Source organism: Homo sapiens, chromosome 1 (assembly GCF_000001405.40).
Source record: "Homo sapiens chromosome 1, GRCh38.p14 Primary Assembly".
NCBI classification, from domain to species: domain Eukaryota; kingdom Metazoa; phylum Chordata; class Mammalia; order Primates; family Hominidae; genus Homo; species Homo sapiens.
This window is the reverse complement of record NC_000001.11, coordinates 213,259,469-213,286,890: the sequence shown is the minus strand read 5'-3', so window position 1 is coordinate 213,286,890 and position 27,422 is coordinate 213,259,469. Positions and strand designations below refer to the sequence as shown.

General features: G+C 37.7%; 1 protein-coding gene across 46 annotated transcripts in view, besides 2 other annotated features; it reads right to left on the bottom strand.

Annotated features, from left to right (window-relative positions):
* RPS6KC1 (ribosomal protein S6 kinase C1) overlaps nt 1-27,422 on the bottom strand; it is an 811,495-nt gene that overhangs the window by 575,845 nt on the left and 208,228 nt on the right. For 42 of the 46 annotated variants that reach the window (NR_146210.2, NR_146207.2, NR_146209.2 and 39 more), the window contains 3 exons: nt 25,251-25,333; nt 24,075-24,170; nt 12,117-14,367 (listed from right to left, as the gene is read on the bottom strand). Coding sequence is in view for 40 of the 46 variants with exons in the window: in XM_047417948.1 (XP_047273904.1) it covers nt 14,257-14,367; nt 24,075-24,170; nt 25,251-25,333 (290 nt within the window). In the remaining 6 variants the exon portion in view is untranslated. Of the gene's footprint in view, nt 1-12,116; nt 14,368-24,074; nt 24,171-25,250; nt 25,334-27,422 lie in introns of those variants that run through there. The other 4 variants (XR_007058661.1, XR_007058662.1, XM_047417936.1 and 1 more) reach the window with 1 other exon arrangement.
* Nucleotides 4,782-5,296: an enhancer, noted in NCBI's record as "H3K4me1 hESC enhancer chr1:213454938-213455452 (GRCh37/hg19 assembly coordinates)". NCBI's record gives its function as "activates a minimal SCP1, AML or CMV promoter by ChIP-STARR-seq in naive and primed H9 embryonic stem cells {active_cell/tissue: H9 hESC(naive and primed)}" and the evidence as "EXISTENCE:reporter gene assay evidence [ECO:0000049][PMID:30033119]".
* Nucleotides 19,800-19,849: an enhancer, noted in NCBI's record as "active region_2529". NCBI's record gives its function as "activates an Ori minimal core promoter by ATAC-STARR-seq in GM12878 lymphoblastoid cells {active_cell/tissue: GM12878}" and the evidence as "EXISTENCE:reporter gene assay evidence [ECO:0000049][PMID:35858748]".

Genomic DNA, 27,422 nt, shown 5'->3' with positions numbered 1-27,422 from the left:
GCCTTCTGTATTTCCTGCAAGCTAGCAGCTTGATCCACATCAGTTTCAAACCCAGATTGTATCCCTTTAGCAAGGTGGTGTCTGGCAATACTACAGGAGGCTCCTGTCTGATTGTCTTTTTGTGATCTTACCAACCACTGATGCTTAATGCCTGTATCCATCCATTGAAGACTGCAAAATGGGAATATTCTATCACTTCTTTTTCATTCTGTAGCTGGAATAGTTTTATAAAGACACTCTACCTCTCATTATTTGGATACTCAGTGGTATAGTTCACATAAAAATCAGGATAAATGCTTGAATCCCTTCATTTCCCAGATTTCAAGATAGCGAATTGGTTCCCTGTAATTCTCCAAAGGTGATCAATTCTTTTTAATGTCAAGTTGTGCATTTAAATATATAGGATGTATCAATTATTATTTTTGAAGGTCAAATTGTCCCACCTGTGGCCAGTAGGAGGCTCTGAGTCCTTTTGCCATGACCCCAAAAATCTTTGATAGTTTCTGTGTTATCTTATAAAATGTTTCAGCTGCATTTTGTAAACTTCCTGCACCACAGTTATTGCTCCAAGAAGCCCTAATTTCTTTTAGAATAAAGCAGTTTTTCAAAACCACAATCTGGGTTCTAGATACACTCTCTGCTAAGTTGGACACTGTTTCTAAGGGCTTTCAGTAGGATAAACTAGGAAATATTATTGATTCAAAGATAAAAACATCTCATACATTTATATTGAGAATTTCTATTCAAATTCTATCCTCAGTTTTTACATAACCACTTCTCGACAACATCAGACTCTTTCATTCTGGTTCTTAAAAGCAGAAGACATGGCAGAATTATGACATTCCAATATTATCTGTTTTGTCCCACGTCAGACGGTTCTGCCTTAGGCTGGGTAATTTATAAACAACTTAATTCTTTTGCTTACAGTTCTGGAGGATGGGAAGCCCAGAACCAAGGTGCCAGCAGATTCAGTGTCTGGTGAAGGCTTGCCCTCTGCTTCAAAGACGGTGCTCTCTTGCTGCATCCTCACATGGTGGAAGGGGCTAGGCAGCTTTCTTTAATCTCCTTTATTAGAGCACTAGTCCCATTTACCACTTAATTATTACTTCCCCCAAAGCCCCACAGCTTAATACTACTGCTTTGGGTATTAGGTTTGAACACAGGAATTTTGTGAGGACACCAAGATTCAGATCATAGCACCACATGACACAGTAAATCTCAAAATAACAATACCACCACCACCAAGATTACCAAAAACATTGCAAATCGTTTGCATATACTCTTGCTACTTTCTCCATTAAGAAAAGCAGTTCTATTACATGGTCAGAGCATATAGCCATTACACACTGTGCTGTCTCCTTCTTAGTCCTCCTTTAGTCATATTTCTACAGGTAACTTTAATTCTTTAGTTTGTATGCTAAGGTCTTTCTCATTTCAGTTGTCTACAATACATTCTCTACTAGGTTTCTTACGAAGAACTCGTGGGAACTGCAATAGACTGAATCTTTGTGTTCTCCCAAAATTCATGCTTAAATCCTACCCCCCAGTATGACAGCATTAGGAGATGGGGCCTTCAGGAGGTAATTAGGATAGATGAGGTCATAAGGGTAGAGCCCCCATGAATGGGATTAGTGTCCTTTTAAGGGTCACAGAGAGCTTGCTTCCTCTCTCTGCTCTCCCCTGTGTGAGGACACAGCAAGCCGGCGTCTACAACCCAGAAGGCAGCCCTCACCAGAACCCAACCATGTTGGTACCCTTATCTGACTTGCAGACTCCGCAACTGTGAGAAATAAATTTTTGTTGTTTATAAGTCATCCAGTCTATGGCGCTTTGTTATAGTAGTCCAAACTAAGACAGGGAAAAATACTTTCTGAGTTTCTCCATGTTGATAACCACATGTGCCCTTTATACTTAAAAGTCAGTTTTGCTGGATATAAAATCCTTGGCTCTCTTTCTTTCACTGAGTATTTTAAATGTTCTTTTACTTTTGCCCTTCTATAAAATGCTGTTGAGAAGTGTAACTAGAAATGTTTTCCCTTGTAAATCATGTGCTTTTTCTTCTAGAAGCTCAAAGTACTTTTTCCTTTTTTTGGTATTAGTCATACTGTAAACACTCTCAGTTATGCAGTGTGCTTTTTTCATATGGTGCTTTTTTTTAAATTTCAGAAGTTTTCTTGAATTAGTTTTTATTAGTTCAGTTCCCTTGCATTGGTTTTCTTTGTGATCTACTAAACAAGTTCCATCTTCTTGCCTACTTCAATATCTGGCACTTTCTTTTCAATCCTTTTTACTTAAAAAATTTTTTAAATTCCTTTTCAACTTATATTTCTGTTGTGTTGATTCATACTTCTGTTGTATTTATTCACTTTTTTTTTTTTTCTGAGACCAAGTCTTGCTCTGTCACCCAGGCTAGAGTGCAGTGGCAAGATCTTAGTTCACCACATCTACCTCATTGGTTCAAGCTATTCTTGTGCCTCAGCCTCCTGAGTAGCTGAGATTACAGGTGTGCACCACCATGCTCGGTTTTTTTGTACTTTAGTAGAGACACGGTTTCGCCATGTTGGCCAGGCTGGTCTCAAACTCCCGGCCAAAGCAATCCACTGGCCTCAGGCTCCCAAAGTGTTGGTATTACAGGCATGGGCCAGTGTGTCCAGCCTATTCACTCTTTTGCCCTCTAATTTAGTCTTCATTTCTGAAATAATATTTCTTTAATTTCTAATTTTTTCCTGAGTTGTCAACTCATTTCTGAGCTTTCTAATTTTTCTTGGTTCATGTCTTCTATACTTTTTAAAATATCTTTCAGCTCATTTTGTAATTATTAGTTTTACTCTGTTTTGTGAACACATCTTTCTGGAATGCTACCTTTATTTGTAAAGGTATTATTCTGTTCCTATTTCTCTTTTTTGTTATCTTTGAGTGGCACTTAATGTTGATTCTTTTCTGTTGTGCATTTTTACATGAAATTAGTTTTCCTCAACTATGAGAATAAAGTGAGTTAAGTAAAAAAAAAACATTTCTAACTTCACCAAGCTCCCTCTTCTGTTGTTTTGGTGGTTTTTTAAAGCATGACATCTTGCTTTCTGAAATTTCCCAACTGTTCTTCCCTTCCTTTGCTCTGGACCCTTCTCTTGTCCCTAGACTATTCCCTTTTAATTCCACTCCCAGCAATCTCTCCTAAGCATAGGGCCCAGCACTAGAAGGCAGTGCTGGCAGGTCAATTTTGAGAGTTCAAAGGTCAGCCCTCTAATCCCCCCTATCTCGAGCTCTTAGCACTTACCAGGTGTTAGAGTGGGCAAAACACCTTCCACCTTCAGTTGCTGCTCTCAAATTGGGCCACTGAGCTTCCCAGTGAACACCAGTTGGCTATTTGGGGTTCTCCTGTTCTCAGGTCAAGTTAGAAGTTACACTATTGCTTCCTTCTCTCTCTCACATACCATGCAAGTCTTGCAGGTATTTCGTCCCCAACTGCTTGTACTTTGGGATTAATGTTTTGTCACCTAGTTTTGTTGCAAATGTTGTCTACGAATTTATTTTGCTATCCAGTTGCTCTGCATGCTTTTGTGGGGGATTATGTGGGCAGTATGCTACCGCCATCTTTGCTATCTTCCCAGCAACAGCAGGAGCAGCAGCACATCTTTTAATTTGAGCTAATTTTTGCTTCTTCTTGGTTCCTTCCCTCAGTCTGTCACAGGCCTCAGTTTCGCAGAGTCCCTGTATTATAGCATGTATGTGTTTGGGAAGGGAGATGTACGGAGCGAGTAGAGGTTGTTAGTTGTGAGCAGAGCTGCCGAAAGTTAGACACAGTTCCTGCCCTTAGGAATGTATAACCAAGAATTCAATGTACATCCACTTAGTGAAGCAGAACTACAACCATCTAGTTTCCAATCACAGATCTTATTAGCTGGCCATGCCAACTGGAATAAGTCAACTTCCTAGGACCTTAGTTTCTCCATTTGTAAAACACAGAGCATATCATTTGCCCTAATTGTACAGGTTGTATAGAAATCAAATAATGAAAGCATATGTAATCTGGTCACCAATAACCTGCATCCTCGAAGGCAGAAACCCTGTGTTCTTCATCTCTGTCTCTACCCCTCCATGCCTTGGACAGTGTTTGACACATTTCAGAGCACTCAGTGTTTGCACCTTGAAAAAAGTATTTAAAGCCTTATTATGTGCTAATTAATTTTAAAAGCTCCAGAGCCTCATCAATGATGACAAGAGTTAATATGGCCATGCTTGAGGGCTAGAGAGGCTAGCCTCGGAAAGACCCTTCGCATAGAAGAAATGGCCTTCACTCCAAAAGTCAACCATCAGAAGAAACGGAAGAGCTGAGTTTTTAAAATGCATTTTTTATTATTCAGCCTTCAGCAGAAATGTCACCTTTCTAAAGCAAGCTGTTATCATGCACTCCCTGTGCCAAGCAGGCGCCTCTGAGGAGCAGGATTTTATCTCAACATTTTTAGTGATTTGTGTTTCTCTTTCAAGGAGTTCCATGCCTTAAGGCACCTGAAACACTAACAGCACAAGAAGGTAAGGTTACACAAGGAGCCGTCTCAACAACATGAAACAGAAACTTTTGCAAAACAGGTCCAGGATCAGCATCAAAGCTATAGTCCGCAGTCACCCTGCCCAATAATTCATGTCCTCTCCGCACAGCTCATTGTTTTCTGGTGGGCTCCTTGGTTGAAACCATATTCTCAAAGAAACTCCGTTTTGTGACAGGGCCCCCATCAGTAGGCTCAGCCACATGACAGGCCGAGGAGCAGCCAGCACAACTGCCGGCAATGCTTGCCAATAAGCCAGATGCTGCCACATATTGGCATCTGGGTCCTGGAATAGCAACCATGTTCTCAGTCTGGCTAGGGATTCTGACCCTAGCTACGGAAGGAGACAAAGGAAGGAAAGAAAGAGACGGAGCAAGGGGAGGGAGGGCAGACTGTGGAAGAGTCTCTTGGTAATTTCCCTACCATGGATTTAGAGCTTCCACAACAAAAGACTCGTTGGAAAGCTGCTACCAATGCTGCAATGGGCGGGAGAGGTAGAGACGGGAGCATTCTAAACCCAGCGAGTTGTTTTGGCACCTGGGGAGTGGGGGTGGTTGATTCAAAAGGAGACAGCTGCAGCAGGCAGCAACTGCTCTCCCCTCCTTTCCCTCAAACCATGATAGCCCACAGTGGAGATAAGCTACGGGATATAGCTTAAATCTGCAGCAGAGGGACAGAGAGTGGCAACATCAGGATGGCTGTCGCTCCCTGCTCTCTGGGTGCCAAGATTTACCAATGCCAGCAAGGCCAACTAAATGGCAAGGGCGAGATGCAGATCACAGTCTATAATCAGGAAAGGTATGATCAGGGGTGTTCTGCTCACAGGAATGGGGTGCAGGCAAAAGGCAGCCCTGTGCCTTGCTGTGACTTCTGCTGGTAAGGAAGTACCTGCCTGATAGAGGCTTCAGGCCCTGCCCTAATCACATTAGGTGGAGGCATGGCCCAGAAAGGGTGGGCTGAACCCCAGTTTAGGGTTTGAAGGAAGAGATGACAATAAAAAGCATGTTCTCAAAATAGCAAATTCTATCCAGTGTCCCCTTTCCCCCATATCATGTTTATGAAGAGTTACTCGGAGCCTTACACTTGAAAGACAGGTATATGCGCAAGTGAGAATAAGAGACAGACTATGTGGTGAAAAGCACCTGGGCCTCTGCAGTCTGAAGATGGGGGAAATAGCCCCTTAAGGTCATTTACCAGCTGGAGGGTTGCTTCTCCTAGGATCAAACTGGCCTCTCTCTGTTCACCAGATACTACATTTCCTAACCAGAAACACTTGAGTGTGCCTCTGGTCATAATCAGTGTGTGTGTGGGTGGGGAGGGGAGGGGAAGGATATTTAGTGGGAATCCCTGCCCACCACTGGAAGAAAGCAGTGCAAAGCCTGTTCTATCAAATGGTGATTTTGGCAATAGTGTCACTTTAAAAAAAGAACAGCACATTATTATTAAGGCTGAGTTCAGGCACAGCATAGAGACAGATGAAGGAACTGCTGACTCTGAAATCCCACCTGTTAAAGACACAAGATTATCTAAACATTTTAAAGGTGCCCATTGAGAGGTCAAAATATACTTTATTAAAAATCTCATCTAATAATCTTGGCCCTTTATAAACAAAAGATCCATAATTTAAAGTGAAAGATAATCACCCACATTCCCCTCACCCCACACATACACACTTAACCTTCAGCAAACATCTAATTTCACTTTACTACTATGAAGTCCATTTTTAAAAGGTAAAACCAAGCCTACCCAGAAACCATCCCCCACTGAGTTCCCCAGTTTTAAAGAAAACACAGAGCAGCTCTGCTACAAGGTCAGAATCCAATGAGAACATTCTGGTATCTTTCCCAAACTTGGTTTTGATTCTTTGCATTCAGATTTTGAACAACACAGGGACTAAATACTGAATTTCCACTGTGGTTTTGCTTAAGCAGCAGCAGAAAACCCAACACTATACAAGTCATCAAAGGAATTATAACTATAATTTGATGTTTATGCCATCTATTTCTGAAATGGGTAACAGAAGCTGTCTACAAAGGGTGAGTTATTTGATTACAAGTAACTCTGACAGACTGCCTGAATCTCTTTGGGGGAACTGAACCACTGCCCATCAAGTGCTCTTCATTTTGCCCCGATTTTCTCTTTATCCAACTGCCTGATCCCCTTGTCTTTTCCCTTCCTCCTTGTCTTCATTATCTATCTTCTCCTATCACCCTTTCCCACCGACACAAGGACTCCTGGGCAAGCTTCCTAGGAAATATGATAAACACTGAAAATGTCTTCAAACTCAAAACATATACCACAGGGTAGGATGCCCATGATCAGGCAAGGCAGAGGCGATAACCTGAATTCAAACAAAGCCAGTAGCTCCCAAACTTGAGCAAGCATCAGAATCATCTGAAAGGGCTTGTTAAAACACAGACCGCTGTGGCAGCCCTCAGAGTTCCAATTCAATAGGTTTGGGATGAGGACAAGCATTTGCATTTCTAACTAATTCTCAGGTAATCCTAACGTTGATGACCTGGGGATCACTTATTTTTTTCATTTTCCTAAAGCTTTTATTTGGAAATAATTTCAAATTTAAAGAAAAGTTGCAAGAAGAGGAAAAATCATCCATATTCCCTTGACCCAGATTGGGGACCACTTTTTGAGAACCACTGAGCTAAGCTAAATGTATGTCAGAGGTCTGGTACAAAGAGAGAAGTCACCTGGCAGGATGTAATGTCTTCTAAGAGCAAAGATCAGAACACTATCCAAATAGAAAGCAAACCAACTATTTAAAGCAAAATGTGGGAAAAAGTGCCACAAAATGATCAAAGAGTGAGTTAGGACCCAGGGGTTTTAAGCTCTGAATAGTGAATATCATTATCAACCAATGGGGGAAAAAGTGTATAAGTTTTCCTGGTTTGTCTCTCTCTGGTGATTCCTTGGGGGTGATTTTACAAACAACAGTCCATAATCTCCTAGTATAAACTGACTTCAAGAAAAAGGGAAAGCAATTATTTGATAGGAACACTCTACCTCTATACACTTGAGAGAAATAGATGAGGATGATTAAGTACCCCCTCATTTATATTCTACCACCTTAACTGCGGACTTTATCTCTTGCCTGAATTTCTGCAATAACTCCAAACTGCTTTCCCTGCCTCTAATCTCTCTTTCTCCAATTTATTCTCCATTCTAACCCTAAAATTATCTCTTTTAACTGTAGGCTGCAATAATGCCAGCTCTCCAAGAAACATCACTAGTTCCCCACAACCTAGAGAATGAAGTCCAAATGTCTCAGCATGGCATTTAACCTGGCCCCAACCTACCTTTTAAATTCACGTTATCTACGAACCAGCCAAAACAGAATACGCATAGCTTTCCATTTTCCCATCTCCATGCCTTTATACACAACAGTCTTTTTGTCCCCCCGAGAACTTTCCTTCTCTCCAAACAAAATATAAAAAAAGGAAAAAAAAATCTTATGTTTAAAAATCCTATCTACACTTCAAGGTCCTGCTCCTATACAGGAAGGCTTCCTGCAGCTCCTCAGATCTCTCCTTTGTATGCTCACCATACTCCAGTTGTACTTTATAACACTTGCCACATTCTGCCCTACTTATTATTTATGCTTCTTTCTTTCCCCTGTGTTTTATAAGATCCTTGAAGGCAGGTGCCATATCTTTTGTTCAGAGACCAGAGAAGCCCATAATGGGAGGGAGGGGTGGATGAAGAGGGGATGAAGAGAGAAAGAAGAATTGAGAGAGCAGTAGAAGCATACGGTCGGGGGAAGAGTTCAATTTTAAAGAAGTTTTCTTAGTCATTTAGAATCCTTTTGCTAAAGACAGACCCTTCAAATATCTAACACATTTTCTTCCTATAACAATCCTGAGAGACTCAAGTGTTCTACAAATTATCTCAAATGTCTTGCAAACATTACCTCTCCTTTTCTTCTTGTTTTCCATTGGATCAATTTTATATGTATATCCCACATAATAAGGGCAACAACACACTTCAGTCATTATATTGGCACTGAAACAGGCTCCAATTCTTCTACAGTCCCCTTTGACATCTGTCTCTTGGTGGGGTTAATCAAACATCTGTCTTGTGGATTCCTAACCAAATACCCAAACTTTAGGAAGATTTTTTTTTTTTTTAAGTCTAGGTCACAGTCTGTTGCCCAGGATGGAGTACAGTGGTGTGATCGTGGTTCACTGCAGCCTTGACCTCCCGGGCTCAAGGAATTCTCCCACCTCAGCCTCCCAAGTAGCTGGGACTATAGGTTCGTGCCACCGTGCCCAAGCTAATTTTTGTATTTTTTGTAGAGACAGGCTCTCTTCATGTTGCCCAGGCTGGCCTCGAACTCCTGGACTCAATCAATTCACCCGCCTTGGCCTCTCAAAGTGCTGGGATTACAGGCGTGAGCCACTGCACCCAGCTTTAGGAAGAATTTGATCAACAGAGTTGATATGAAATTTTTGATGTGTTTCAATTTGACATTTACAAAAGCAAGATGCCAGCAATTCTAAATGTACCCCAAAGCTGGCTCATTTGTCATTCTTTCCTACCACATTAAAGAGGCATTCCTGCCCAAAAGAAATCACAACAGCCCTTCGCAAACACTCATGGCCTCTGCCTTAACTACCAGTTGTACCAGCTGTCTTTAGCAAGGAGATGGAGATAGAACTGACTTAGGATAAGCATGTCAATTAATTCTTTCCTAAAAGGCAGGTTGGCCATCTCTTTTCCTGGGATAGTAGAAATAGCGTCAGTTTTTGCCTCACCCTTCCTTGGGGAAGAACAAAGAATTAGACTTTAAATCCAGATGAATAAAGAAGGCTCTCTATTGCTCCAGGTACCTGGGCCAACATGCCTGCCAAGTGCTCTGCTGCATCTCCCTGGCCCAACTTACTCACTCAGGTTACTTTCTCTCTTACACCGCCACAAATTCTCTCTGCCTCCATTTCTCCCTGAGATGAGACAGCTAGATCAAGGTGGCAAATCATGTGATAGGGACCAAAAATACAAGGCCAAACCATCTGACTACATATCACCAGCAGGATCATAAATCTTACCAAAAAGGAAGCTTGCTCTCCGGTTTCCTATTTACTGTCCTTGAGAGAGTAAGTGATGCTGAGTCACAAAAACCTGTAGTACTTTGCTTTCCATTTCCCTGCTGCTATTCTGTTTACAACTTTATTTAGAAATAGCTGACTTCACAGCTTTTGCCATTCAGTAACCCTTCAACATGAGGGCTTAATATGAAATCCTTAAAATGAGCCTAGTAGACATAAAATAATCAAAAATCTAAATTACCTAGACTGGTAGAGGTTAATGTTCTGCACTAAATAGGAACAGAAAGTATCCATTTTTTACTCTGATTATGCCTGCCAAAGGACTGAGTCAAATAAACACACAAAATATGACAGATGAGGGCAACAGGTGTACAAATACCACCATAGTTACTGAGAAAGGTCTAGGAAACAGGCAAACGTAGGTGTGGTCCTAACCTCCTTTCACCTTTATGTACTGCTATCTGGACCTTCAACTCTCCTTTTCCAGTGTAGAACTGAATGAGAAACAACCTTTTAATATCTCATTTTAATTGTAATTTTACAACTATATAACCACCAAGGGCTATGCTACTGAGCAGATGTACGGCAGCAACCCAAGCATCTAGGATTACTAGAAAAACAATAAGAAAACAGTTAAGTACCAATTTAAGACTTTCATTAACCTTGCCTTTCCTATAATGTTGTTTTATCAAATTAGCTCACTCTGAAAAACCAAAAATCCATCATATACTTGTAAAGCTTAGAACTCACCTACCCTCTCATTCTATAGGTAAGGGAACAGGTCCAGGAGAGTGTTATTTGATTAAGGTTACATGGCTAATTAGTCACAGAGACATGACCAGGACACCACTCTAGACTTTGCATTATTGCACAATTCTCGAAGAAAGAGCTTGAAATACCAGGCTCCACTGCCCAAACCATTTAGATATACCAGAGTTTAAATCAAGTCCTCTAAAGAAAAAAGATGATCAGTTTTATGCTTAGAAACTGATCATCTTTACTAGAAAGATATCCCTAAGTGAATCCGATAAATATGCTCTGAGGAGCCCTTGGGAGGCAGAATCTCAGGGCTCTAGTCAGACCTCTTGCTATTTGGATTCCAAACTTGTGGGCAAGCAAATTCAATCAAGGCATACTAGGTGTGGAGCTCTAATATAGTGTTACTGGTTATAGCATGAGTACTATCTATACATTTTATGCTCTTCAGTACATGCACCATTTGAAAGCAAAGGTCAATCAATCTTGGTTCACACTGACCTTGAAATAAGTGAAGACAGGAAAAGCATGAAGGTCAAAACACAATAGGTATTGCAGCTGTTTAAAAGACAGGTCTAAATATATTATCAACAGTTCAGTTAATTAATAGAAGTAGAAAGTAAAATGGTGCTTACCAGAGGCTGCGGGCCAGGGGAGAATGAGGTAAGGGGAGACGTTGGTCAAAGGGTAAAAGTTTCAGTTAGACAGGAAGAATAGGTTCTGGCAATCTACTGCATAGCATGGTGACTACAGTTAACGACATATTGTATATTACAAAATAGCTAAAAGAGTGGATTTTAAATGTTCTCACCACAAAGAAATGATAAGTATTTGAGGTGATGGATAAGTTAATTAGCCTGATTTGATCATTCTACAATGTATACATGTATAGAAATATCGCATTGTACCCCATAAATATACATAACTATTATTTGTCAAATAAAAAAAAAATGTTGTCATTATAACAAGTTGAAAAGGTCCATGTCTCAAATAGTATTATTTCATGTCACAGTTAAATGGCTAAAATGACATTCTTTTCACTCTTGGGAAGCTTAACTTATCCATCTTTGACATAGAAACAGTAGATTTTTATATTATATCTTAGGATGAGTGGCACTGCACCATAATGGCATTTGCAATCTATCTGGAAAAACCCTTCTATAAAGATCATGGTAGAATAATAGTGAATGATATTGGTAATTTTACATAAAAATAAAACACAAAATTGAATGACAGAAAGCAGACTCAAATATCTGTACATCAATATTCATAATGGCATTATTCACAACAGCCAAAATGTAGAAACAATCCAAATGTCTACTGACAGATGAATGGCTAAACAAAATGTGGTAATACATATGATGGAATATTATTCAGCCTTAAAAGGGAGGAAATTCTGATAAATGCTACAGCATGGACGAACCTTGAAAACTTTTTGCTAAGTGAAATAAGGACAAAAAACAAATATTGTATGATTCTGCTTATATGAAGTACTTAGAACAGTCACAGTCAAATTCATAGAGACAGAAAGTGGAATAGTGGTTGCTAGGAGCTGGAGTGTGGAATGGGGAGGAGTTATTGTTTAGTGGGTACAGAGTTTCCATTTGAGGTGCCGAAAAAGTCCTGGAGATGGATAGTGGTGATGTCGCACAAAAATGTACTTAATGCCACTACTGAAGTGTATATTTTAAAACGGATAAAATGGTGAATTTTATGTTATGTATATTTTACGATAAAAAAATCAAATGAGAAACACTCATGGCAACTTCTTTTATGATTTTGACCCCATATTCCACTCTTCTGCTTAAACAAACAAAATATAAAAAAAAAACAACCACAAAAATCAGTACCATTCACAGAAGTACAGCTTAAAATATGTACACACCATAAAATAAAAACAGACTCTGGTTCATCACCCCAAAGCTATTTATCCTGTGTTTATTACTAAAATAATTAATGTCCATTCTAATTATGAATGATGTATTTACATTAGGCACAAGCTCCAACCAAACATATAGAGAGAAAAGGGGAGAAACTGAAGCAATGGAATTGTGTCAACAGACTGACATGGCAACCATCTGTTGACATTAATGTCCTTTGAATCCAAGAGACTCAAATCATGTGGTAGGGCAGGGATCTTCACCTTAGTTGTGAAGTCCTACTTTCATGTCACAGGGCACTTCTGGAAGGAAGTTCTGTAATGGCCAGCTCTAAGTACTTGCAGATTTCCTACTAGTCCTACACAGGAAGTCATTCTTGTGTCTCACCTGCATAAGTTCCTGTTATGAGGCCAGGGGACTAGTGAGTTGAAATCTAGTTCCAGGGAGTGATGTCATTTTGACTGAACTATGATCCTGGTGACCTGCTCCCCAACCTGGTGTTGTTGCAGCCTTTCAGCTGGGGTTTGGATTATAAGGGGGCCAAAAAGGAAAAAGGGAAATAGAATAATAGAAAAAGGAAAAATGCTTGCACATTTCCTTTGTTTCACTAGAGCATTTTCTGTTCCATTTAATTTGATGAGAGGACCTGGTCGATGGCAGATGGAAGCTGTACAGATGCTCCTGGAGTGGGGTTGGGCTCTCACACAGATCTCAAAAATGCAAAGAAGATTAGAACATATCAAAAATTTCAATTATTTCTGGTGGTTTCTAACTTGGAAATAGTGACTTCTTCTTTGGCTAACGTTTAAAAAAAAACAGATGTTAACACTTTTAAAACATTTGTAAATTTTTGCAACAATGCATAACTACAGGAGCTACCTTAGCAACAAAAAGAAGTAACAAATACAAATGTTTGGAGATGTGTGAATACTTACATTCTTTCTAAATCACGTCAAATAGATTAGTTCAAATCTGAAAATCTCATCACCATAAGTAACAAACTAGGACTGCCATTCAATTCCATTTAGATGAGATCCTTTGCTTCTTAGTATACCAAGCCAAAAAGTAAAACAAAGTCAAGCATGAGAAGCAATGGTAGAAACTGATAATATTTCACAAGGAAAGGAACAGACGCATTTCTTCAAGGAAAAAAAGGGGGGAGGGTTATTAAATGAAGAAGAGATCTAATGTTTCACCATGTTTATTTGATATCATGATTTCTTAGTCCTTACACAAAGGGAAATAAGCACTCCCTTCCCTTTTTTGTTGCATGTGTGTTAGCAGGAGTCGGAAGAACAGAATATGAGGGAACAAGCAGAGGGTGCAGAAAATAGAAAGATGGGGAAAGAAAGATGCTGTTGAAGACACAGAGTGAGTGTTTATATGAACCCTTCTCTAAATAAGCAGTATCAACAAAGAGTACAAAGCTGACAACATGGAGTGTCTTCTTACAGAAATAATCTGGGACCACATTCAACATACATTATACAGCATCAGGGTACAGGTTTTCCGTCAGAAATTATGTGTATATTCTTTTTTCTCGCTTTTAAGTTTCATTGATGACATTGTTCATATACTTTTAGTGTATTATTAAGCAAATATTAATTTAATCATATAAACCAATCCTGGTCAGCAAAAAGCACTGTTAGCTGCCATGTAAAGGTCCTTCTGTCAAGTAAAACTTCATTCTACACTTCTAGCTTCCTATCAGAGGAACTTCTTGAAGGAACTCTTTCAGTTGGCTTTACAACTCATCTGCAACACCAAATGTGGATTAAATTCAGATCACACCTTGGTTGTGTATATATGTATATAACAGCCCCTGGCACAATTAGCTAATATCTTGTAATTGTAAACGAATTGTTCTCTTTTAGCCATTTCCCCCCCATTTCCTATAACGGTCTTTATCCAAATGCTTTGGTGCTCCATAAGTAACTGTGAGTCAGAGGTGCCTCAGTGCTGGAGATGCCTGTCACAGAGAAGATCAGAATGTGTGAAGATAACCCTGCATTACGTTCATCTCATCAGTTCTGCCCAATCCACAGGGGTAAAAAATGGATGAGATTTGATATCTTCAACACCAGCAACTCCAGCACCAAGTCGTTCCAGAGGATTGAACTGCAAGAGCTAAAAAAAGACGGACTTAGTGAGTAACAGGAATCCAACTGGCAAATCAAAGGAAAACCAATATTTGAAAAGAAACAACTTCTAAATTCAACCCTGGTAACAAGCAGTCTTGATTAATAGCCAAGTGACCATTTTTCTTGAAAGGGAGCTATGTCTAATACCATTCTAGCTGTGGGGTGTGAGAGACACCTGAACTGAGTTTATGGCTTTTCAACTGATGGGAAACATGGCCTTGAGTAACTTACTTTGTTTCCCTCATCCTCATGTAATATAATAGGATAGTTATACCTATCAATTTCCTACCCCAAAAGTACACCATGACATTAATTAGATATTGCACTAGATTCTGAGATAGCCAGTTACTTCCTTCATGATTAGAAAATTTGGGAAGCACAGTAAATCTTTCGACCCCTAATCAACTATGTATGTATTGAGACTAAACTTTACCTAAAGTGTGAATAAGCTGATTAGTATTCCAAAATCACTAGTCTTTGGCATAGTTGACACAAATGAAATAATTTAATATAATGAATGAAACAAGTTTTGGTTTCTTCAGAAATAGGAATCATGTGTAAAATAAGTAAAAAAAAATTTTGTGGTTTAATAATGTCAAATTTTTGTGTTAACAACTTTACTGAAGGATAATTTATATAAATTCATCCCTTATAAGTGTACAATTTGATGACTTTTAGTAAATTTAAAGAGTTGTGCAACTAGCATCACAATCCAGTTTTAGAACATTTTTTTTTTTTTTTTTTTTGAGACGGAGTTTCGCTCTGTCGCCCAGGCTGGAGTGCAGTGGCGCGATCTCGACTCACTGCAAGCTCCGCCTCCCGGGTTCACGTCATTCTCCTGCCTCAGCCTCCCGTGTAGCTGGGACTACAGGCGCGCGCCACCATGCCCGGCTAATTTTTGTATTTTTAGTAGAGACAGGGTTTCACCGTGTTAGCCAGGATGGTCTCGATCTCCTGACCTCGTGATCCGCCCGTCTCGGCCTCCCAAAGTGCTGGGATTACAGGCGTGAGCCACCGCACCCGGCCTTTTAGAACATTTTGATTACCCTAAAAAGTTTCCTCATGCCATCTACAGTTAATCCCCACCCCCATCCCCAGCCCTCGGCAACCACTGACCTGCCTTTTGTCTCTATAAAGTTGCCCTTTCTGAACATTTCATATAAGTAAAATAATAAAATATGTAGTCTTTTGACGCTGCCTTCTTTCACTTATCATTATGTTTCTGAGATTCATCCACACTGTAGCAGGTATCAACAGGCCATTCCTTTTTCTTAGTATTCCACTGTTTGGATGTCCACATTTCATTAATCCACTCACTAGTTTTTAGATACTTAGACTTTCCAGTTTGGGGCTATAATGAATAATGTTGCTATTAACGTTCATGTACATGTCTTTGTGTAGACATATATTTTCATTTTTCTTGATTACATTGCTAGAAGCAGAATTGCTGGGTCACATAATGAGCTTATGTTTAACTTTTTATAAAATTGCCAAACTTTTCTAAAGTAGTTGTACCATTTTACATTCCCACAAACCTTTATGTATGAGGATTTCGGTTTCTCTACATCCTCAGCTCTTGGTACTGTCATTTTGATAATAGCCCTTCTCCTGATGTTAGTAGTATCTTGTTATGGTTTTAATTTACATCCCCTAACAACTAATAATGTTGAGCATCTTTTCATGTGCTCGTTAGCCATTCAAATAGCTTTCTTGGTGAAATATCTAACTTTCCGCCCATTTTAAAACTGAATTGTCTGTCTTACTTAATTACAAGAGTTCTTTATATATTCTGAATATAAGTCCCTTATCAGATACATGATTTGCAAATATTTTCTCCCAGTCTGTGACTTGTCTTCATTTTCCTTCTTTAAAATTTTTATATTTTTATTATTTATTCATAGAGGCGGGGTCTCACTATGTTGTCAAGGCTAGTCTCAAACTTCTGGGCTCAAGAGGTCCTCCTACCATGGCCTCCCAAAGTGCTGGGATTACAGGTATAAGCCACCACACCCACTCTATTGTCTTCATTTTCTTAATGGTGACTTTTGAATGCACAAGTTTTTAATTTTAAGGAAATCTACTTTATCAATTTTTCCTTTTATGGACCATGCTTTTGGTATCACATCTAATACTTCTTTGCCTAACTCAACATCAAAGATTTTCTCCTTTGTTTTCTTCTACAATTTTTATGGCTTTAACTCTTATATACAAATATATGAGCTATTCTGAGTTAACCTTTGCAAACAGTATGAAGGGTCTAAGTTCATTTTGTTTTTAGCATGTGCATATTCAATTTCCCAGTGCCATTTGTTAGAAAAACACTGTGGTCTTAAAACTATCGTGGTTTTATAGTTGGTGTGGAAATCAGATAGTGTAAGTCCTCCAACTTTGTTCTCTTGCAAAATTGTTTTGGACATTATAGCTCCTTTGCCTTTTTATGCACAGTTTGGAACCAGCTAAAGGTTTCCCAATTTTGCTGATCTTTGCAAAGAACTACCTTGTGGTTTTACTTTTCTTATTCTTCTGTTTTCTATCTTACTGATTTCTGCTTCCTTTCTTCTGCTTGCTTTGGATTTACTTTGCTTTTTACAGTTTCTTTTCATAGTTTCTTTCTTTTTTAAATTTAGAGACAGGGTCTCACTGTGTTTCCCAGGCTGGTCTTGAACTCCTGTACTCAAGTGATCCTCACACCTCAGCCTCCCAAGCAGCTGGGACTACAGGAGCACACAACCACATCTAGCTTTGTTTCATAGTTTCTTACGGTGCAAGCTAAGATTCTGATTAAAAACCTTCCCTTTTTTTCTGATATAGGCATTTAAACTTAGAAGTATACTGTTTTAATTTTCAAATATTTGTGGATTTAGCAGATCTCCTCCTCTTGTTGATTTCTACTTTGATTGTTATGGTTATTATAATCAGTGTACAATGTAATTCAGAATACAGTGTATGAATTCAATTCCTTTAAATGCTAAAACTTGTTTTATGGCCTAGCATGTGATCTATCTTGGAGATTGTTTTGTGTGTACTTGATAAGAATGTGTGTTCCGCAGTCACTGGGTGAAGTGTTCTATACATGTCAGTTACAGTTTGTTCAAGTCTTCAATGTCCTTGCTAATTTTCTATAAATCATGGAGAATGGGGTATTGAGCCTCCACTTACTATTACTAAATTGTCTATTTTTCCTTTCAATTCAGTTCAGTTTTGTTTCCTATATTTTGAGGTCATTATTAGTGCATATACATTTGTAACTGTTACAGCTACCCCTGTACTATCACTATGAAACATGTGTCAGATCCTAGTAAATCTATCTTAATATCCATTTTGTCTGATATTTAATATTGCCACTCCAGCTCTTTCGTGGTTACTGTTAGTATGGTTTATCCTTTTCCATCCTTTGTCTTTCAATCTGTTTGTGTTTTTGAATTTAAGGTGTGTCTCTCACGCACAGAAGATCCAGCTTAACAGAATCTGCCTTTGGTTTGGCATGTTTAGATATTCACTTTATTGACACGGTGGGTTTATATTTGCTATTTTGCTACTTGTTTTCTAGATTTACTGTCTTATTTGTTCTTCCTTTACTGCCTTCTTTTGTGTTAAATGCTTTTTGCTGTACCATTTTAGTTTCTCTACTAATTTTCATTTAGTATTTAGTTTTTAGGTTTTTTTTTAAGTGGTTGCTGTATCCCTACAATATGCATCTTATCACTTAATATATCACTTATCTTATAAGATCATTTATCTACTTCAAAATAATAGTAACTTTAATTTAGCAAAAGGTAGAAACTTTGCTCTACCATAGCCCCCTTCCTTTGTCTATTATTGTCATATTTAGATATTGCTTCTATATATGTTAATCCCAATAGCATGGTTTTATAATTGTTGCTACATGCAATTTTATGTCTTTTAAATAAAAAATATATATTTATATATACAATATATAAATATATAAATAAATTATATATAAATAAAATATATATTTTTTTGTCTTTTCTATGAACTCATATCTACAATTTTCAGTGTTCCTCATTTCCTCCTTGGACTTAAGTTACTACCTGGTGTGTCATTTCTCTCCAGCCTGAAGGAATTCCTGTGGTATTTCTTGTAAGGCAGTTCTGCTAGCAATAAATCCTCCCAGTCTTTCTATATTTGGGAATGTCTTTATGCACCTTCATTTTTGAAGGATAATTTTGCTGAATTCTTGGTTTACTGCTGCTTCTTGATTTCAGCACTTTGACTGTGTCATTCCAATATCTTCTGATCTCCATGTTTTTGATAATTAGTTAGACATTACTGCTTCCTTCTATGTAAGTTATTTTCCTTTTACTGTTTCCAAAATTTTCTTGTTTTTACCTTTCAACAATTTGGTTAAGTGTGGATATGTCTAAATATGTTGCAGTGTAGACCTCTTTGTATTTTCCTACATAGGGTCTGTTGAGTTTCTTGGATGCATAAGTTAATGTTTTTAATCAAATTTGGAACGTTTTTAGCCATTATTTCTTTTTGCTGTCCCTTTCCCTTTCTCCTCTCCTTCTGGGACTATCATTATATGTATACTGGTACATTTGCTATTGTCTTACAGATTTCCATAGTCCTGTTCATTTTTTTCAATTTTTGTGTCCATTTTTCTGATTCAATAATTTCTATTAATTTAAGTTCATTTATTCTTTCTTCCTCTATCTCAAATTTGCTGTTAGCCACTTCAGTCATTTTTTTTCTAGTGAATTTTTCATGTCAGTCATTGTATTATTCAACTTGTGACTTCTACTTAGTTCTGTTTTTTAAAAATATACTTTCTGTCTCCTTATTACAGAATCTCTTTGTTGATTCATTTTTGTCATACTTTCCTTTAATAATTTAAACACAGTTTCATTTAGTTCTTTGGAAATATTTACAATAGCTGCTTTAAAGTCTTCATAAATCCTGTGTCTGGGTACACTCAGAGACAATTTCTACTGATTTTTTTTCTGAATATGGGACATACTTTTTTTGTTTTTGTGTATGTCTTACACTACACTTCACTGAAAACAGGACATTTTAGATAGTATATTTTAGCAACTCTAGAGTCTGATTTTTTCCCCATGAAGTTTATCATTGCTGTTGGATTGTTTGTTCTTTGTTTGGTAACTTGTTTCAGTTAGATCTGTAAAGCTGCTAAGTCCCCTTCCCACTGCATTGTAATGTGCAGCTGCTGACAACTTTCCACATTTTTTTTTCTTTTTAAAGTTGGCTTTCTCGGGGTCACCCCTGTGTCTGTATAGCCTATGGGTCAACCAGTGACTGAACAGAGGTTGTATTCAAATATCTCAGCCCTTCAAGCTTCTGTTCTCTGCCAACGCATAGCAGAACACATTCAAAGTTTAGGCCACAAAACCACATCTGCCCTGGCTTTTACTTTCTGCTGGGCCCACTCCCTGTTCCTGTGCACATTTATACAGCCTCAGGATCAGTCCTCATGGTTTACCCTACCCTGGCAGAACCTTTGCACCTGACCAAGCAGGAAGGGGAGATTGAAAGCAGGCCTGAGTCAAGAGTCCCACTGTTCTTGCCCAGAGTTCGGCTGTTTTTTGTTTGTTTGTTTGTTTGTTTGTTTGTTTGTTTGTTTGTTTGAGACGGAGCCTCAATATTGTTGCCCAGGCTGGAGTGCAGTGGCGCGATCTCGGCTCACTGCAACCTCTGCCTCCCAGGTTCAAGCAATTCTCCTGTCTCAGCCTCCCAAGTACCTGGGACTACAGGCACCCACCACCACGACCGACTAATTTTTGTATTTTTAGTAGAGACAGGGTTTCATCATATTAGGCTGGTCTCGAACTCCTGACCTCAGGTGATCCACCCGCCTCGGCCTCCCAAAGTGCTGGAATTACAGGCATGAGCCACCATGCCTGGCCAGTTCAGCTGTTTTTTAAGCATAAACACCTTTCAGATTGTTGTATCCTTTGATCCATTTCCAGAGCACTGAAATGACTGGTTTTTTACCAAATCTGTCTAACTTCATACTTTTTGGGGGAAAGAAACTCTGCCAACTAACTCATGAAGCCACAGCCACTCAAATTTAAGAATACTCACAGTACATATTTTTTTTCCACAGAAAGTAGTCAAGTGCAACTGAAATATTAAATTATTTATTTACAACATTTGTAGTCCAATATATAGGAAATTCCACTCTTGGATGTTAACCAAAACTTCTATTTCTTCTCTTTTTCATTATTTCTAATTTTTCTTTCATTCATAATTCAATTATTTGTATAAGTATCAATTGTTTGCCTATTATATGCCAGTCCACTACTTTTTTGGAATTTTGTTGACCTGTGTCAATAGCAATAGCCTCATTCTTCATTAGTAGCCCTATAATTCCAATATATGCTTCATCAAATTGCAAATTACTGTGTCATGAATGTTCGTCACTGTCCTATCAATAATAATAACAAAGATATACACGACACTTATCACATGCCAGGTACTTATTCTAAGTGCTTATGATAGGTTAACTCATTTAACTCACAACTCTATGAATAGCTACTATTATCTCCATTTTATAGTTGAGAAAACAGAAGCTCAGGGAAATTAAGTAACTTGTTTAAGATAACACAGGTAGTAAGTGGCAAAGATTTGAATTCAAGCATTCTGATTCCAGAATCCATGTCTTAACAACAACATTACACTGCCTCACAAAAGTGAGATCTGCAAATGCTAAGAATCTATTACTTCACTTGGGTATTACCAAATCCATAAGGGGAGTGAAACATACACTTCAAAAGACTATACTAACAGTCTTTTACCTGAAATTATTTCTAGCACTCAAATTGAACCATACTACACTGTTGATTAAACCTAATTGCTCAAAGAATTTTTATATTAGTAGTTGCTACGATTTGTTAAGAGAAAAGCTATTGTTATAAAACAAACATCACAGGAATATCCCACATATATCAAATCCACTTTCACAATCAGACAATTTATGTCTACTGACTAAAATGTGGAAGGCACCAAACATTTTAATATAAATCTAACATTTCAAATATTTTTAAGAATTAACTGCAATGACAATTATATTTAGTATTTCAGGAAACACATAAACATGTAAGTTCTTTCTTCTTCATTATAAATAACTGGCTTCTTTCTAAAATATACTTTAAATGTGAAATTCTAAAGGTTCATATTTTGACTTTTACTAAAGTCAATTTAATTAGTTCATGAACTCCTCTATATATCTGCAAGTATAAATCTATAGGCAAAAGTATAATTGTTTTAACTATGACTATCTTGCTTATTCTGCCATTTTAAAGGCTATAGCACACCTCAAGAGAGGTCACACAAAGATTCTACTGCTTAAGAAAATGTCAGCCAGTGGCACATTCAAGTTAATGAATCCAAGACAGCAGCTGCCAACCTCCTTTCTCCTGAAGAATAGGCAACAGAGCTGAGCAATGAGGGCATGAAAATTTGTTTTGGTCTTTTCCTCACATAATTTCTTAAAACTGACCAAGCAACTGTGTCATAATTAACTAATGTACATGCTAAAGCACAAACATACATGCTCTGAGGGACTTTTTTAAGATTGCATTTAAAATGTAATTATGTTTACTTTGGCACCATTTGCTTGACTTGGACAGATAACTGAACCAGGGGTACAGGGGATTATGAGATCTAAGAACAAAGCAAGGAGCTAAAAGACCAAAGAGGAGAAAATTTCCCCCACGTAGAATTATTTCCATATAAATCATTTTGTGATTTTTTTTTAAAGTGACCTCTATGACCTGTGAGGTAGTGGAAAAGGAAAGTCAAAATGACAAATTGCTAATCATGCCAAGAGACCCCTTTTCCCTTTCCTGATGATGTTTCCTCAACATGAGTGGTAGTTTCCTTAGGCAGGCCAATGACACAATGCTGATTTACTATATAAGCTATACATATCTGAGTTTGGGGACTTACCATATCTTAAGCCTAGATTCCTTTACAACCTAACTTCTAATAAAGACAAAAGCAGAACTTGGTAACTTATTATGAGGAATTCCATTTTTAATATTATATAATAATGACTACTTCTTTAAGGAAGAGAAACAAAAAATAGCAGTTGCCAGTCTTTCCTAAACTACTTACTAAAAAATACTTGGAATTTATCTCGTGCCACAACGAATAAGATGAAATCAAATGAATAGCTGTTCTTTTTTTCTCCATTAGAATGAAATGTTTTATGTATCTCTTCATTACCTCTTAATCTAAAGTGCTCTAGGTATTCTCATCTCAACATTTCCAACCTGATTGTTTCTTTATAGTTTGCATACTCTGGGCAAATTAATCTTCCTGAAGTACAACTCTAAACTGTTTACTCTTCTCCACAAACTCCAAATCTCAAATTTTAATGAATTAAATATTATCACATTACTCTTGTGTTTGTGATGATAGAACCCCATAAGAAAACCCCAACTTATTTTTTTATGCTCACCTATCACCCATACCTTTATTTATCTCTCTATTCCAGATAAATCAAACTTTGTTTCCTAAACTTGGGTCTTTCAGACTCCTTCCTTGCCTTTGTTCAAACCATTCATTCCACCAAGACTATTCTCCCCACATCCTTGCCATGCTGAAATCCTAAGGCCCAGCAAAAGTAGCATCCATTCCACAAAAACTTCCCCTAATACTACCACTCCACGGATTATATCCGCCCCCTTCTTTTGACTTGCCACAGTATTTTTTAAAACTCTTTGACAGCCTTTATCAATTTCCATGTGGTATGGTTATTTACCTGTCTTACCTTTGTAGCTTATAGCACTGTGCCTTGTATATAATATTTGTTGAATGAAAGCAAAATCACTCTTCAAGAGAATACTAGTCAATTATCTTCCTAATATATGCTCCCCTGCCCTCTTTTAATTTTTGTTTTCCCTGACTTTTTTTTTTAAATCCATGTTTCATTACATAATTTTAGTTCTTGATATTTTTCAAGGAACTTTTTCCATTATATTTTTCATAAAAGCATAAGGATCCCAGGCCTTCTTGTTCCTGCTGATAGCCCAGCAATGGGCCTGTCACACCAGAGTACTAACAACCCTCAATATCAGCAAAATTCACTACACGAAACTAGAAGAGTAATTTAAGTATGAGGAATCAATCTAAGAAGTTCACTGGAGTTCCAAGCCTGTCTCTGGGATACTGAACTTTAATTATCAATGGTCTCTTTCTTCAAAGCCACCAGAAATATAATCACTGACACCAATGCCCAAGTTCCACCAATGATGAAGTATCTAACTTGACAAGATTTTCTAATATGTCTCTCCTAAGCAACCTGAGTAGCTTTATAAATACCTGAGTAAACTTATAAGTAAGAATTAAAAATTGAAAATAGCCATTCATATACGGTTACAAAATGTAACTGCAAAATTAGAGCAGCCTCAGACAAGCTAAAAGCAATACTCAAATCACAGAGTTACACAAATATACAGAAATGACTGTGAGCCCTAAATTTTTGGGAAAAAAATTAATACCAAGAAGTTTTAACTATACTCTCTGACCCCATCAATACTTTGATGATAGCAAAGCCTGAAAATATACAGTATTAATTCTGAACGTGTCTTTGTTTTACGTTAAATGGGTTTTTCTTGCTCCAAACTAATCTCTTTTTAAGGTTTTGGAGTTGTGGGCTCTGCTAATCTGCATGGTTGATAAACCTGGCCAATAGGTCAGTTAAATTACCTGTTGAATGAGTGAGCGAGCCTCTTCAGAGACACATTCTGGCATGTTCAAAGTAGTGTGAGTATTTATTCCTGCTGGATGGCATTCAACCAGAGTCTGAAACAATCAATCAGGTACACTTCTTATCCCAAATAACATCATATTTTGTTCTATCATAGGATTTATGGACAGCAAGTACAGAGAGCTCAACAACCATTTTAACTGGAAGTGTAGTAATCAACACAGTGCCGCCTAAGCAGTTTAGGATGAGGGCTGTGAGCCTATAGAACTTTTAACTGAAATGAAGACAATCACCATGATCACATCATAAGCTTATGCTACTGTCCCGTCGTCCTTAGTTATAAAATTAATGGCTCAGAATATTATAGAAAAGCTTAAATTATACGCAAAACTAAAAAGAGATTTGATACCTTTAAAATGTTTTAATGTTTTAAAAACCCTACAGAGTTTAGAATTTGTTAGTCATAATACTTTACATACATATATAGCACTTTACAGTTTAAATGTATGTAAAGGTGATTTGTAAACTCCCCAGCAATCTTAGGTCAGTATTATCTACACACGTAGGTAGATGACTATTTACAAAAGTGTAACTGTTCATTTCCTTCATTTCCTTCATTTTCTTCCCAGGAGGCAATCTGCACAATACTTTATTAAAGTCTACTAACTCAAACATCATATTCAAAAGTCATTCATCTGAGAGTATAATTTCTGTCCTTAAGCTAGAACAGATAGGAAAAATTTATGGTACTGAGAAAAAGATAATGTTAACTTTAATATCTACGTTAATTTTCTTAAATAAGAATTCTCTCCTGGTTTCAGACAATATGTTTAAAACATCCAGAGAATTTTAATACATCCTTACATAAACCTTACAGATTTGACCCTGTTAAAGCTGAATCATGGAAAATTAAAAGAAAAAAGTTTTAGTCATATTTCACTATGAAATATTGTGACATAAAATAACTTTACCATCAATTTATTCAATGTAATGCAATCCAACTTTTAAAAAAAATCTGGACTCTTGATAAACTTGCATTTCTCTACTTGCTTTCGATATCAAAGTTTTTCTTGCTTAGTCCCTGATTTAAAAACTAAGGGTGAAGGCTAATGTTCTTAATTTGAAATCAAGGTAGCATCTGAGTAAATTTATTAAACGTCCAGGCCACTGCTTACCTTGCCAGTGAGAAGTTCAAAGAGGACAGCACCCAAACTCCACCAATCACAGGCTTCAGTTTCTTCAGTGATTGCTCCAACCTCTAACCACACCAAAAAAGGTTGATATTAAAATTCCAAAGGTCAATTAAACTTTCAAAATTAACATGTATTAGCAAGGTGACCTTTTTAATGCTGAGAGAGCATATACTAAATACTACTGGGCTTTCAAAATTCCTGAAAGTTACTTATCCCTTTGGTCACCTACTGCGGTTGCATATATTTTTTTTTTTGATGCAGTCATATATTAAACTCAGACATTTGTTCTTCAGTTGATAGAGGGACACCTTCAAGATGCTTTACTTAAAAGTTATGTGAACCTACTAGATCAGCATTTTGCTTAATTTTTTACATTTGAGAATGTATAGCCAATTCTACCTCATGGGTGATTTTTTTGTTGTAGAAATAAAGACCCTTCAGGTTCTAAAGGAACTTTAAAAATTATCTAAACCAATATTAATCATCCTTTTACTTGCAGGTTAGAAACCAGAGAGACGAAATGCCTTGTCCAATGTCACATTGTAGGAGAACGAAGACCTAGTTTATAGTATCATCTTCCCTTTCCTATGTAATCAGTTGTTTTCAACCAAAGGAGGAGCATGTGAAATGCAAATCCACCCATTTTGCTAAAGTACAGATAGATATATTGTTTTAAGCCACGGCTGAAACTATTGGCTAAGATAAGGGATTTTAGAATATCTACAAATTACACTTTTATCTGTGTTATCCCTATCTCTCGCCAGCACAAGTTCCTGAAATGTAATTTGAGTTTTCAGGTGTCATCTTTCAGGTTCCTGCACCAATCAGCAACAACTCCTCATTTCACCTTTTTTTTTTTTTTTTTTGAGGCTTTTAGCCCTTACATTATCTTGTGCTTTCCTAATGGCATTAAATTAGTCCCGAAGCCTTGCCAATACCTGCCCTTTCATTTCCAATTGACTGAAAAAAAAAAAAACCCTACTATTTGACTATAGGTAACCCACAATTCATAACTACTTTCAAGTTTATAAGTAGTTAGGTTGGAACTTGGAAAGTAAAACATGTAAGTGGTACTCAGGTGCCTAGCCTTTTAACCAATGCTTAGTCAATGTACTTGTGTGGGAGAACCCCAAACTTACAAAATAGCTTGAGCAATAGTCTTAAAGCAAAAGTCATACGGACCAGAAAAAGAAAAAGAGCCATTCCTGTGCAAAACACTGAAATTACTCCATTCAGCAACCTTTTTCTACATCCCTTTTTCTGAGGTTCAAACAGCCTATATGGAACTCTACCCCTTCACAGCCCTTCCCAAGCCCACCCTCTTCCTGAAGTGCTTCATGCCAAATCACAATTTCCATTCTCCAACTAGCTGCTCTCAACTAGGTAGTAAAAAGAAACCAGATATTAACTAATTCGAACTAGTATGTGAATGACTCGAAGTCTCCTAACGTTCTTAGAACTATTTGCATTTATAAAATAGTTGCTTGTTTGAAAAATTGAGAACTACCTAACAATAGAGATTTAATCATATATGTTGTGGCACATCTGTATGATGGATTACTACTACATAACCATTTTAAATAGGGCCAGGCGAGGTGGCTCACGCCTATAATCCCAGCACTTTGGGAGGCTGAGGCAGGCGGATCACCTGAGGTCAGAGGTTCAGGACCAGCCTGGCCAACATGGCGAAACCCCATCTCTATTAAAAATACAAAAATTAGCCATGCATGGTGGCAAGCGCCTGTAATCCCAGCTACTCAGGAGGCTGAGGCAGGAGAATCGCTTGAACCCAGGAGGTGGAGGTTGCGGTGAGCTGAGAGCAGGCCACTGCACTCCAGCCTGGGCAACAAGAGCAAAACTCCAACTCAAAAAAAAAAAAAAAAAAAAATTAAAAAAACAACACCTACATATACTTAAGTGAATGTTTGTATATATAAACATATAAAAAGCTATAAAACAATACAATTCTAATTTTAAAAGTACACATTTAGAAAAAAGACTGGTAAGAAAACATGACAAGATGTTTTACTGATTTGCCTCTGGGGTGGTGAGTATTTTTTGAGACGGAGTCTCACTCTGTAGCCCAAGCTGGAGTGCAGTGGCACAATCTTGGCTCACTGCAACTTTCACCTCTGGGGCTGAAGCAATTATCCT